General features: G+C 41.0%; 1 long non-coding RNA gene and 1 pseudogene across 1 annotated transcript; one reads left to right on the top strand and one right to left on the bottom strand.

The window, feature by feature from the left end:
- Positions 1–353: 353 nt before the first annotated feature.
- On the bottom strand, positions 354–10,542 carry LOC124903482 (uncharacterized). The gene is made up of 3 exons (XR_007064609.1): positions 10,349–10,542; positions 998–1,036; positions 354–653 (listed from the first exon to the last, which is right to left on the bottom strand). It is a non-coding gene; the product is annotated as an uncharacterized LOC124903482 (long non-coding RNA).
- LOC100533853 (THAP domain containing 12 pseudogene) lies at positions 10,501–11,318 on the top strand (annotated as a pseudogene).

Below are 14,876 nucleotides of genomic sequence, written 5' to 3'. Positions count from 1 at the left end.
GTTCCACCTTTCCATTACAAATCCTATACTCATCTGATTACGAAGTTTATAGGGAATTCACACTGTTCCTATTTCTATTTCCCTGGTTCCTACTAATTTTTTTTTTTTTTTTGAGACGGAGTTTTGTTCTCGTTGCCCAGGGTGGAGTGCACGGATGTGATCTTGCTCACCACAACCTCTGCCTCCTGGGTTCAAGCCATTCTCCTGCCTCAGCCTCCCAAGTAGCTGGTATTACAGGCATATGCCACCACGCCCAGCTAATTTTGTATTTTAAGTAGAGATGGGGTTTCTCCATGTTGGTCAGGCTGGTCTCGAGCTCCCGACCTCATGTGATCCACCCACCTCAGCTTCCCAAAGTGCTGGGATTACAGGCGTGAGCCACTGCGTCCAGCTCCGGTTCCTACTAATTTTTATAAATTTAGAATTCATGCTTTTCATTCTATAGAAACAAACTTCCCACCAAGGTCTTCACTTTTTCCATAACTAAATATTCTCATTTCTAAAATTGTTTGTATTCCTACAGAGGTTTAAAAGGAGAAAAGAGAAGTAGGGAGTTTGGTCATGTATTCACCGAGGTCTTCTAACATGATCCCAATGGAGTACAGATTGGCGAATCTACAGAGAACAAAGGTTGTGATGACTTCTGTTCTTACCTGAAAAAGAGAAAATATAAGTGAGAAGTTTTGTTCTTCTCACCCAAAGCCTCTCTATCATCTTAATTGTATGCAAAATACTTAAGAAAAACACAGATCAAGGGATGGGAAACGACCAGAGATAAGAATAGCAACTCTGTCCTTTATTGGCAGTCTAGGGAAACTGATCTTTTCTTACCCTATAAATTTGAAAATTATCATGTGATGCTTTTGAAGCCAATAGAATCCCCAATTCTCTGGGAAGGAATGGATTGACTAGGAAAGGAATGTATTATCAGTTCTAAAGAGCTGGCTATCAGGGCTGTGGCAATTTCCTTTTTTCTTTCTCTTTGCCCTCTACTTACTTGTGAAAATTTTGGCGCTCATTATCACCTTCAGCAGGCCTGAAACAAGGAAAAGAATTAAAATTCAAATTAGTAAGCCTTTTTATAGAAGCTTTGCTAAAATACGGAAGAATAAAATTACTCACTATAATTAAAGTTTAACTTCCCAGTTGCCATCAATCTTGTCTGTGAAATCAAACAGTTGGTTTGGCATTTGTGAGATTCCATCTTCTCGAATCCCATAAATCCTTCGTTACTAATAATTACTTACAGCTTAAGAAATTACAATACACTAGGTAGTTTTCTAGATTTTACTATAACTTCTATATTTATTTGTGCTACAGCAATTTTAGGCTTTTTGTGGACTCTGCAAGACTCTTACAAACAAGCTACTTTAATGAGACAATAGCAATAGTGAAAAAGAGACTAAGAAAGCTAATTTTAACAACATAGGCTTCAGAAATATCAAGGCAGAAAGAAACCCTGAGATCTGTCTTCACATCGAAACAATCCTGTGTGGCTTCTATGCCACATTGGAGGGGATTATGTTGTTCTCTTCCATATTTTACTCTTAACACAGGCTGGTATAGATGCACCTTTGTATGCTTCTGCAGGTAGACTACTTATAGAAGAGTACTGTTATTCATTTCCTGCCCATTCTTCTACTCCAGAGAGATGTTTATTCTTATAATGAGACAGATGCTGATGGATGACAAGCTTATTCAGAGAAATTCAGTCCCCAGTATCTCAGCTGCTGGAGGACAGGATTGATGCTGCATTGGTTGCAGCTTCGAGGAGATTCTGTGCCTTGCTATTGTTAGTGTTAGAAATTATTTTTATTGCACATTTTCTGAAAACTGTTAAGAGTCAATGGGCTTACAAACAACTCAGCTAGAAAACCCTGCAATACCCTATACATTAAAGTTGGGAAAAAGTAGTAGAATTGCTGAGCGCGGTGGCTCACGCTGTAATCCTAGCACTTTGGGAGGCCGAGGCGGGTGGATCACAAGGTCAGGAGATCGAGACCATCCTGGCTAATGTGGTGAAACCCTGTCTCTACTAAAATTACAAAAAAATTAGCTGGGAGTAATTGCAGGCACCTGTAGTCCCAGCTACTCGGGAGGCTCAGGCAGGAGAATGGCCTGAACCCAGGAGGCGGAGCTTGCAGTAAGCCGAGATCGTGCCACTGCACTCCAGCCTGGGCGACAGAGTGAGACTCCGTCTCAAAAAAAAAAAAAATGTAGTAAAATTCAGGGCCCATTATCTGACAAAAATGAAGATTATTCTAGGAATAATAGAAAGAGAGGACTCTACCCAAAGAAGAATACGTCAAAATGTCAGAGGGGCTGTGTCAAAAAAGAACCATTTTATTATAATGGGATGCAAATGTGAAGTGGGATGTGGAAGCTACTATATTCCTTTACCATTGGCTGACTTTTTATCCTTAATTTGGACTCTTCCACTTCTAGGTAAATCCGTTTTGATAAGGTAAGGGCTCAAAGTACAGTCAGTTTAAAGGCTGAAGTCAATCTACAAGGACAGTGTGATAAAGATCGGTTTATTATGCTGAAATTCTTGGTTGGTTCTAAGGTACAGTGGGTAAGGGAGGAGATAAATACATCCATATATACATGGAATTCCTGGTTGGTGGGAATGCTCTGGCACCCACTACTATGTCTGAGATGACTTCTGAAAATAAACTGGGATTGAGCTCAATAAATATAAGAACAGAAAAAAATGGACAAGCTTTATTTTATTTTATAAAATTTAAAAGACATTATTTCAATACGTTTTCTTGAAGTATCCCCTACCAGTATATCTGAGCCTTGTCATATCCCTCCTAGTATCAGCATATCAAGCAAGAGTGAAGTTTTATTTTAGGCAATGGGAATATTGACCTCACAAATGGTGCACAGTGATGCTTGTTTATTCTGTTTATTTGGGTAGAGTAAAAATTTTTTTTTTTTTTTTTTGAGATACAGTTTCACTCTTGTTGCCCAGGCTGGAGTGCAATGGCGCGATCTGGGCTCACTGCAACCCCTGCCTCCCAGGTTCAAGCAATACTCCTGCCTCAGCCTCCCCAGTAGCTGGGATTACAGGCGAGTGCCACCGTGCCCGGCTAATTTTTTGTATTTTTAGTAGAGACGGGGTTTCACCACGTTAGCCAGACTAGTCTTGAACTCCTGACCTCAGGTGATCCACCCACCTTGGCTTCCCAAAGTGCTGGGATGACAGGCATGAGCCACGGCGTGCGTAAAATTTAACTAGTGGCATTAAAGATAAGCACTGCTACAGCTGGCTCTGCATCTTTCGTCATCCTTGGAACGTACATAAGTCCTTGGGTAACCCACATTGAACCTCAGTGAATCTTCAGGAGACTGCAGGATGACAGAGGTGGAGATGGGGTAAACTATTCTAGCCCACGGCTACCCCAGGAAAGGTCTGCTTTTGCTTTAATTAAGCTCCAAATATTCTGAGTCAAACTGAATGCTCTGGAATTCTTTAAAGGAAAAAAATGCTCGGGTAACCTAGAGTACCCGATATACTGTCACCCTGGAATTCTCTTTAATAGCTAACACAAGACCAAACAGAACCTCTTAACCAAAGGCCAATCCTCTGGGTCTACTCTGAAGGTTTAAGAGATCCCTGAGCCAACCTCAAGCTTGCGGACAGACTAGCACTCCCCAGCCTCCCCCTAAAATTCGGACTGAATGGCGGGCCAAGGATACTGAAGGGGTTCTCTAACATCCTTATGATGGTGGCTTCTGGAATACACTGCACTAGAAAGTCAGGCTTCCTTAAGAATAGCTGGTCATACTCAGGCAACGTTCCCAGGGATAAATTAGATTAGATGAAAATTACACCATAATTAGGGTACTTATTTCTAGAAATTCAATAGGAAATTCTCCTGGGGTTCTCATGCTTTTACCTTGGTCTTCCCCAAAGGGTCAAAGTGCTTATTAAGGCTGGGCACAATGGCTCATACCTGTAATCCCAATACTTGGGGAAGCAGAAGCTGAAGGAATGCTTGAGGCCAGGAGTTAGAGACCAGCCGAGGTAACATATCAAGTCTCTACAAGAAAAGAAAAGAAAAGAAAAAAGCCAGATGTGGTGACATATGCCTGCAGTCCTAGCTACTTGGGAGGCTGAAGTGGAAGGATCACCTGAGCCCAGGAATTTGAGGCTGCAGTGAGCCATGATTACAATGCTGCACTCCAGCCTGGACAACAAAGTAAGACCCTACCTCTAAAAAAAAAAAAAAAAAAAAAAGTGCTTGTTAAAACTAAAACTGGTAAGGAAATTCCTACATACATGTTCCAGATTCAATACTCTGGAAAAGACAGGTAAATAACCATATCACATGCCTGATATGTTATATTAGAAGTCTCAAGTTTTCTCAGTGGAACGGTGTCTGAGGCTCTGGCTTTCACTCAAAGCTTAACAAGTCGTTCTTATCACAAAATACACAAAGCACCCATCACACTTCCTGCAATGATAGCAAAGTCACCAGCCATCATGGGTTGATTTCAGAGAGTATCAGTCTGCAATGTATGCACAGGTCAGTAGAGGCATCTCTGTCTGCTAACAAGAAAGATTATCAGGGTCAGGATGTGGGCAACCACAGATTGAAGAACACTGGCTGCTCTGCTCATGAAACAACCCCAGAGATAGAAGGAGCAAGTTATTTGAGTGTGGAACCTGAATTTGGAAAATCAGGTAGTGGATCACCGGCCTCAGGTGAACTGAACAGTAGGGATGAATTTCTGCCATTGTGGAAATTTCTTACAAGAAACTTATCAAAAAAGTTTCTATATTCATCCAGAACAGAGTCTGGGGGACTCTGAAACGTGTTTATGAAAATATCTGAGGTTAACTAATAAAAAAAAATTAGCGGCCGGGCGCGGTGGCTCACGCCTGTAATCCCAGCACTTTGGGAGGCCGAGGCGGGCGGATCACGAGGTCAGGAGATCGAGACCATCCTGGCTAACACGGTGAAACCCCGTCTCTACTAAAAATACAAAAAAAAATTTAGCCGGGCGTGGTGGCGGGCGCCTGTAGTCCCAGCTACTCGGAGTCTAAGGCAGGAGAATGGCGTGAACCCGGGAGGCGGAGCTTGCAGTGAGCTGAGATCGCGCCACTGCACTCCAGCCTGGGCGACGGAGCGAGACTCTGTCTCAAAAAATAAATAAATAAATTTTAAAAAGCTATTTGCCATACCCACAAGAAAGTTAACTCAATTTCCCACTTGCAGACTACCACCCTGAGATGATTTATGGACTCACTAGCTATCTCATCATGTAGACTTTTTATCCAACCACAAAAGCTAAATCAGTTTTTTTCTTTCCTTTTGTTTTTCTGAGACAGTGTCTCACTCTGTCACCCAGGCTGAAGTACAGCGGCGCGATCACAGCTCACTGCAGCCTTAACCTCCTAGGCTCAAGTGATCCTCCCGCGTTAGCCTCCCGAGTAGCTGGAACTACAGGCACGCACCGCCATGCCCAGCTAATTTTTTGTATATTTTGTAAAGGCAGGGTTTCCCCATGTTGCCCAGGTTGGTTTCCAACTCCTGGGCTTAAGTGATCCTCCCACCTCAGACTCCCAAAGTAGTAGAATTACAGGCATAAGTCACTGCTCCTGGCCAAATATGTTTCTTTCCACACCAGTATTTTTCTTCCTCTATTGTAATGAAAGCCAAGCCTCTTTGTTTGCTCAATAACCATGATAGTAAATTACCAGTCTACAGCAAGCATTCTACAGAGTGAAGGAAAGACATGGTATTAACTATTCCTCTACACTGAGTTATGTGAACGGATCAGAGAAACCTGGTTTTTTCTTCTGTTTTTTTTTTTTAATTCAAAATTGGCTTTTATTCACAAGCAGTTGCATAGACCTTCCCATCAACATCACTGGTGTTTTCCAATGCCAGACAAGGAATTGGAAAGGAAACAATGGTCAAGTATATAATACACATGAATAAGGAAATTTGAATTAACCATTTCTCCCCAGGATTCTTTTTTTTTTTTTTTTTTTTTTTTGAGACAGTCTTGCTCTGTCACCCACGCTGGAGTGCAGTGGTGCAATCTCGGCTCACTGTAACTTCCACCTCCTGGGTTTAAGCGATTCTTATGCTTCAGCCTCCTGAGTAGCTGGGACTACAGGTTCATGCCACCATGTCCAGTTCATTTTTTTGTATTTTTAGTAGAGACAGGGTTTCGCCATGTTGGCCAGGCTGGTCTCGAACTCCTGACCTCAGATGATCTGCCTGCCTCAGCCTCTTCAAAGTGCTGGGATTACAGGCATAAGCCACCAAGCCCTGCCTTTCTCTGACTCTTAAGACTCCATCTTTTCATTCTTTGATTCTTTCATTCTTTGAACCCAGACAGAGAAAGATTCCATGTGGCTTATTCATCATCTAATTCTTGCTAAACCTCCTTCTACTGATAAAGGAAGTTGAGGGTTAACAGCATCAAGAGCCAATGTGTTTTTACACGTAGGCCTTCAGTCAGTACCACATGGACAATAATGATAATAACTTACACGTCTAAGTAACTTTGTAATTTACAAAGCACTTTCACAGCTATCTTATTTGCTCTTCTTAATACTTTGTATGGTAGACAGGGATTACTAGCCTAGCTTTAAAGACAAGACTGAGGCTCAATGAGATTAAGTGACCTGCCCAAGGTCACACAATCAAAAAGTGATAAAGACAAGAACTCAGGTCTTCTAAAATCCAGTCCAGTGCATTTTCCCACTATATCATACTAATGAAATGGGCTCTCAGCTGCTAAATCTGCCTTTAGAAATATCCAGTGCATGAGCCTATACTGTAGACGACAGGTGTCACACGGCTGAAGAAAATAATTGATGAAACCTATGGAAAGAACCAGTGACAAAGTTCTATAGTTTTCTCAATGGGTTATTTCTTTTAAAAAATAAAAAAAGAGGTGCCATTATGCAAAGCATAAAAATTTTTAATGACTCTAGCACCCCTTCTTTTTCCTGTGACCCTATTCTTTTCCTCAATTAATGCTGAGGCTGACTTGCAGTTCTGAGTTACATCAGTCTGGATGGATCTGTTAATGCCTTGCTGCGCAAGCTGTAGTGCATGGATGGTAGACAGATAGCATCAACATAATTTAGGAGCTTGTTAGAAATGCAGATCCTCTGTAGGTAACGATAAGGGAAAAAAAATGCAGATTCTTAGGCCAGATTCTCACCCTAGATCTACTGAATAAGAATTTTAATTTTAACAAGATTCCCCAAGTGATGTAAGGGCACACTTGTTCGAGAAACACAATGTTAATACGTATTTACAGACACATGTCAATGTCATACCGAAAATGATGCCATAGTAGCAGTTCATTAACGAACAAATAAAACACAGGGTCTATTTCAGAGTAAACGTATAGTATAGAATGACAGAAATAATTAGTAGATCAAAAGATATGTGAAAATTGAAACATTTGACTTAGGTTCTGGCTAACTCAGGTAGTTCAAATGACCATGAGATGTTGAAGTCATGCTGGTTACTGTATTAAAACATACAAACAGTCATTCCAAATAATGTTCTTAGTAGTATAAGCAGCAAATATGGGAAAATTTCCCATTTTCACATCGCCCTTACGTTCACAGAATTTCACCCTCTGGAAAGAGCCTACAGTCACCTAGCCACATATTTCTCTGCCCCGGCTGTATATTAAAATCATTTGAGGAGGTTTTAAAATCTGTAGTGGCCCCATCTCCAGAGGTCTTATTTGATTATCTAGGATGGGGTCTCGGCTCCCATGATTTAAATATGTAACCAGAGTTAAAAACCACTGCCTACTCAACTCCTTCACTGTACAGATGAGGAAATTGGGGATTTAATTAAAATAGTACCAATATAGCATGTTTAAATAAAAATGTTCATCAATAGGGAATGATTTATATAACCTGAAACTTGTTGACCAGGTGAGAGGCTTAACTGTTTCAACAAGTGTTTACCATTTACCATTTACTTTTTTTTTTTTTTTTTTTTTTGAGACAGAGTCTTGCTCTGTCACCCAGGCTGAAGTTCAGTGGATTGATTTCAGCTCACTGCAACCTCTGCCTCCTGGATTTAAGTGATTCTTCTGCCTCAGCCTCCCGAGTAGCTGGGATTACAGGAGCGTGCCACCTTGACCAGCTAATTTTTCTATTTTTAGTAGAGACGGGGTTTCACCATGTCTGTCAGGCTGGTCTCAAACTCCTGACCTCGTGATCTGCCCACCTCAGCCTCCCAAAGTGCTGGGATTACAGGCGTGAGCCACCGTGCCCAGCCCTTTTTTCTTTCTTTTCTTTTTTTTAAGGAACTATTTTTTTTTAAGGAACTAAAATAAAGGTCTTCTTTGTCCTTTAACTCTGAACAAAAGTTAACCTTTCTAACCTTTCTTTGGAAGAATTATTAACCAAATATTTACCTAAAGGGGCTGACATTGGGAAGTTTCAAAAGACTACAACTTGAAATAACATAATTGACTTCCATTTTTTAACTTTCTCTTAACCGAAATGACTTTAGCGTACATTCAAATAGTTAGAAGAGCTCTTATAAGTAGCTTACAAAGTTAAAAAACCAAACAAGAATAAAAATATGAGGCAAACAGGAAGTGTGGTGATTCTTTTTTTTTTTAATGACTGCACATTTTTTGACACACCTCCCACCAAGGGTGGGGTCTATTCCTTCCCCTTGGCACTGAGCAGGCTTGTGATTGCTTTAACCAATAGAGCAGGGCTCTGCAAACTATTTCTGTAAAGAGCCAGACAGCAAACATTTTAGACTGCAAACTATATGATTTCTACTGCAACTAATTCGTTCTGCCATTGTAGTGTGAAAGTACATAAATGATTAAACATGCTATGTTCCCATAAAACTTTATTTTTTTATTTTATTGTTATTTCTTGTTTTTGAGATGGAGTCTCACTCTGTTGCCCAGGCTAAAGTGCAGTGGTGCGATCTCGGCTCACTGCAACCTCTGCCTCCCAGGTTCAAGTGATTCTCCTGCCTCAGCCTCCTGAGTAGCTGGGATTACAGGCACACGCCACCATGCCCAGCTAATTTTTGTATTTTTAGTAGAGGCAGGGTTTCACCATGTTGGCCAGGCTGGTCTTGAACTCCTAACCTCATAATCTGCCCACCTCAGCCTCCCAAAGTGCTGGGATTACAGGCGTGAGCCATCACACCCAGACAAAACTTTATTTTAAAAAAAGACATCGCAGATGGATTTGGCATTGGGCCATAGTTTGCTGATCCCTGCAACAGAGTGTGGAAGAAGAGATGCTTTGTGATTTCTGAGACTAGGCTATAAAAGGCCATGCAGCTTTTGCCTGGATCTCTGGGAACCTTCTCTCTTGGGAAGCTCCCTCTTGGAGCCTGGCCAACATTCTGCAGGAAGCTCAAGCCATAGAGAGAGGCCATATGCAAGTTCTGTGGTCAGCAGCCACAGCTAAGCCTAGCCTTCATGTCATCCCAGCCCAGGCACCGGATCTGTGAGTGAAGAAGGCTCCAGATGGTTCCATTTCCAGCCTTTCAAGCCACCCCTCAGCATTTGAGTCGTCCCAGCTGAGGCCCTGGAAATCATGGAGCAGAGACAAAACATCCACACCATGCCCTATCTGAATTCCATAAGGATAATAAAATTGTTGTGTTCATGTTGCTAGGTATAGAAGTGTGGTTTGTTTTGCAGCAATAGATAACTAGAACAGGGACTCACTAAAAATCTAAGAGCACACAAAGAAGGCTAAAAATCTCAGAAAAGAAAGTTGGAGTCAAATAATTCAATTGAAAATATTTATGCCTTTTTTTCAAAAACAAGTTATGCTTTTTGTTTTTTATTTTTATTTTTTGGTGGACTTTATTAACTAATTAAATGGTTTATAGAAATCTTGTCTCTGAAGGTGAAAAACAGCAGTTTGTTCCTTTTTTCCTGTTTGTCTATTTTGTATTTTTTGAATCAAATCTATTAAGAATTTGTACTCAATTGGGGGAGAATTGCTTCAGTGATTTTTGTATTTCTGCTTGGATGAAATATAACTGGTTAAAATTTTAAAATTAAAACTGTAAGCTTTCTATCTGGGTCTGGATATACTTTTATGCGTCTGTGAATGTGTAATATTTTCTTACCTCCAGATGATATTGACACAATATTTTTTTCTTGGTCACTTTGCCAGCCGGGATCTCCGGCCAGCGACGTACCACTCCCCAGCCTGGACCTCCGTTGGCCATGCTACCTGCTGCTGGAGGCACCCCACCCACTTGGTCTGCCCCAGCCAAGTCTGGCTTGCATACCGGCTCAGCCTGAGGAGGCTGGACCGGGTGCGCCCCAGCAGACAGCCCACCTGTATTATAACTCGTACCCGAACTCTTGTCCTGCATCCAAGAAGAATGAGGATACGCTGACAGTTGAAGGGTGAGGGTGGGCAGAGAAGCCAATTTATGCTTTTCAAATGTCATCTATTTAAAGGAACTTGTAATATCTTGTTCAGATGAATAAAAAAACACTCCAGTGTAGTAGTCAATCAAAAAGAATTAAGTGAAGATGAAATCAGGACACTGAAACAAAATTAAAACAAAAAATATTGATAAAACTTCTGAACAGGAACAAAAACATAAAGAAACACACGACAGCAAGACTCAGAAGCTCAATGTAGTAAAAGAGAGTGAGGAACAAGGTGAAAACATTTTACTTTTAATCCCTGAAGAGAAGAAAAACAAATAATACCAAAAATCTTTATTTAAATGTTTATTCTTTTGAGAAAACAAAACCTACCTCTGGATGCACATGAGTTTGATTAAATCTGGGAATATCTCTTTACTCCTGATATCTTTCAAACACCGCTAAGGTACCAGATAAATTCTGGTGACAAGGTCCTGAGAAAACCCTTTGAGGCAACAGCGTCTTTCCAGCTGTTCTGTTGGAAAACAGCAGGAACAGCTGCTAGAGATCTGTGAGAGCTGCTTTTGGGAAGAAAGCCCCAGGAAGTGAGGGATCATACTTCTTTTCTGTGATCACTGATGCTGTGGTGGACATAGCAGAGAAAGAACACCAGCCCGGAGTGGAGAGGTTTATTGATGAGTCTCTTACCCGACAGAGAAATATGTGAGTGTCTTCCTTGTGAAGCTGAAGCAGACATTTTGGTTGTGTGATCTCACACTACAAAAATCGGGAAGTGGGGCTAAATGTGGAGTGCTGTTGTGGCCAGATGTACAATATGGCCAATAGATTTTCTTCAAAAATGGAGGTTGCTGCTTCAAGATTTTTAACTGAAATATCCCCAAACTATCTACACATTCTGCTCTTCCTGTGCCTTAAATATGTGGTTGGCAGGCCAGGCATGGTGGCTTACGCTTGTAATCCCACACTTTGGGGGACCGAGGCGGGAGGATCACTTAAGGTCAGAAGTTCGAGACCAACCTGGTGAACATGGTGAAACCCCGCTGGGCGTGAAAATATAAAAATTAGCTGGGTGTGTGGCAATCGCCTGTAATCCCAGCTACTGGGGAGGCTGAGACAGGAGAACCACTTGAACTCGGGAGGCGGAGGTTGCCATAAGCCAAGATTGTGCCACTGCACTCTAGCCTGGGCAACAGATCGAGACTGTCTCAACAAATAAAAAATTAAAATTAAAAAATTAAAAATTAAATATGTGGTTGGCAAAATCAGTGCCTATTATGGGGATATCTGTTGTATTATGAAGGACTGAGGAAGTTTGTTCTTTTATTCATTCTTCACCACAACTACTTTTAGGACTTGACTATGTAATTTCTGTCCTTTCTCAGAACAACAAAGAAAGGAATAATGAACTGAAGGCAATTTTTCATTCTCAATGGACAGATAGACATGATGCTTTTGAAATTTTACTGGATCTCCTGCCAGCATTTGTTTTATGTTTAGAGATATAAATATATAAATAGTGAGACAAGTCTCAGATGACATAACTGTGTAGCTGGCTGAGCATTTGTATTCTGCAGTGCATTAATGTATTTTAATTTCTTTCTTTTTTTTTTTTAATTAATAGAGACAGAGTCTCACTATGATTGGCCAGGCTGCTCTCAAACCCCTGGGCTCAAGTGATCCTCCCACATTGGCCTCGCAAAGTGCTAGGACTACAGGTGAGCGCCATCACTCCCGGCCTTGATTTCATTTTTATAAATGTTCTTAAAAATGTCTTATCTTACAAGAGGCTTTGGGAAAAAAATCTCTAGGGGAAAATCTCTGATGTTTTCTTTGCAGCCAGCAGCTTCATGGTGGTATCGTATCACTAATGAAGTATTGGAAAATATTAAAACTTATCATGAATTTGGGGAAGGCATGAATTTGATAACCAATCTTGATATTCAAATAAAAGTCTCTGGGAAATTCTGCAGAGCTCAGCAAGGTAACCTAGAATCTCAACTAACCTCTGAGAGTTACTATAAGGAATCTCTGTGTGTTCCAACAGTGCAGCGCATTACTCTGGAACTTGAAGATTTATTCTCAGAACAGGGTCTCATAGCTCGCAAATGCTGATCTCTGGCACCTTCTGTCATGGGACAGCTCAAATTTGACACATCGGAGAAACACTAAGCTGACTTTTACTGAAGTGACTGAGCCAATCTGAACATGCTCTCAGCCAATTTCATTGTTGGAGAATCAAGTAGAAACACAGACAGAAAGAGGCAGAGCTTCTATTGGCATTTTTGAAGCCCTCTGTCTGCCTGACATCAGTAAAACTCCCTAATGTGTACACATTGTTGAAAGTCCTGTGTATTCTTCCTATAATGAAGATTGAGAATGAGCACTATGAAAATAAATGAAAGCATCTCAAATTATAGCTGAGGAAAACTTTGACAGACCAAAGGTTAAATAACTTGGTTTTACTTAACATAAATTTTGATATAAAACATGATCTGGATTTAACTGTAGGTGCACATATCAAACTATACAGCAAGTAAGAACTTCCTACAAGTGATTCAGAAATCAGTAAGAATACCTCAAAGGATGCTTATTTAATTTTATTTTTTGTTTGTTTGTTTTGAGACAGAGTCTCTGTTGGGCAGCCTGGAGTGCAGTGGCGTAATCTCGGCTCACTGCAGCCTCCGCCTCCCAGGTTCAAGTGATTCTCCTGCCTCAGTGTCCCCAGAAGCTGGGATTACAGGCCCGCACCACCACGCCCAGCTAGTTTTTTGTAGTTTTAGTAGAGATGCAGTTTCACTATGTTGGACAGGCTGGTCCTGAACTCTTGACCTCAAGTGATCCGCCCACCTCAGCCTCCCAAAGTGCTAGGATTGTAGATGTGAGCCACCACCCCCGACCCTAAAAGGATGTTTTAAGTAAGTTTCCTTCTATGGGAAAAAATGGAAGACGTACAAGTGCCGAATTCCATTTCTGCATACTCTCTGGTGCTGGCACTCTGGAATTGTTATTTATTTATTTTATTTTTTTATTTTTTGACAGGGTCTTGCTCTGTCACCCAGGCTGGAGTGCAATGGCACAGTCAGGGCTCACTGCAGCCTCAATCTCCCAGGCTCAAGCGATTCTCCCACCTCAGCCTCCTGAGTAGCTGGGACTACAGGCATGCGCTAGCATTCCTGGCTAACTTTTGTATATTTTGTAGACATGGGTTTTTGCCCTGTTGCTCAGGCTGGTAGAATTGTTTTAAAATCATTTCAGACACAGCATTTAGTATCACTGTGGATCCAGTACTTTGAAGTTAAGTTAGTTATCAGTACTTTGAAGGAATAAATTTTGGGTAGGTGTAGGAGGAAAGAATACATTTCATAAAATGTCACAGTGAATCTTACAACTCACCTTTCACTGGTAGGACTTTTAAGTATACTGTTAAAAACCTTTAACGCGGCCAGGCACAGTGGCTCACGCCTGTAATCCCAGCACTTTGGGAGGCCGAGGCGGGCCGATCACAAGGTCAAGAGATTGAGACCATCCTGGCCAACATGGTGAAACCCCATCTCTGCTAAAAATACAAAAATTAGCTGGGCGTGGTGGCACATGCCTGTAGTCCCAGCTACTAGGGAGGCTGAGGCAGGAGAATCGCTTGAACCCAGGAGGCAGAGGTTGCAGTGAGCCGAGATCACACCACTGCACTCCAGCCTGGCGACAGAGTCTCAAAAACAAAAGAAAACAAAAACAAAAACAAAAACAAAAAAAACCCTTTAATGCACAGTTATGGGAATTACCAGAGAGTGAGAGAAGCAGTGAGCTCACCCAACAAGGGTGGCATTGTAGGTCTGATCTTTATCAAGTGATCCTAGAAGAACAAGTTTGAATGGAAGAGTCTGGCATCATTGTTCTCCTTCTGCTTGTTGCTATTTGCATTCCTTTGTTGAGCTGATGTCTTCCTGTGTCGTAAGCTTTTCATCAGGTGTATGTGGAACACTTTAGTTTCATGGTCAAGACAGAATCAGAAGCCCTGGATACAGACAGCTGATGTGTCTGTTCTCTTCTTTTTTCATAACTATGTCTACTTCCTTATCTAGATTAAAATCAAAACCTGAAAAACTGACTACAATAAGTGTTTTGTGGTTTATCTATAAATATGATAGAAAATATGGCTGTTATTTTTGGTCAGAAATACCAATTTTGTACAGCTTATTTCAACCTAAATAAAATGTGAACTTAAAAACATTTTTGTTTTAAAAAACATTTCTTTATTGACTTCTACTACCAGAGTCGCTGTTGAGAAGTCAGATACCATTCCGATTCTTTATCCTTTCCAGTGATTTTATTTTCCTCTCTGTTAGGTCCTTTCTGTCTCCAATGTTCTGAAATTTAATAATAATGTGCTTTGGTGTGTATCTTTATTTTGCCTGTTATGCTGGGTTCTCAATGGGTCCCTTGAAATTGGGAATTCATGCCCTTCATTTCTTTGTAATATTGTTGAATTA

Source organism: Homo sapiens, chromosome 15 (assembly GCF_000001405.40).
Source record: "Homo sapiens chromosome 15, GRCh38.p14 Primary Assembly".
Taxonomy (NCBI): domain Eukaryota; kingdom Metazoa; phylum Chordata; class Mammalia; order Primates; family Hominidae; genus Homo; species Homo sapiens.
This window is presented reverse-complemented; position numbering and strand designations above follow the sequence as displayed.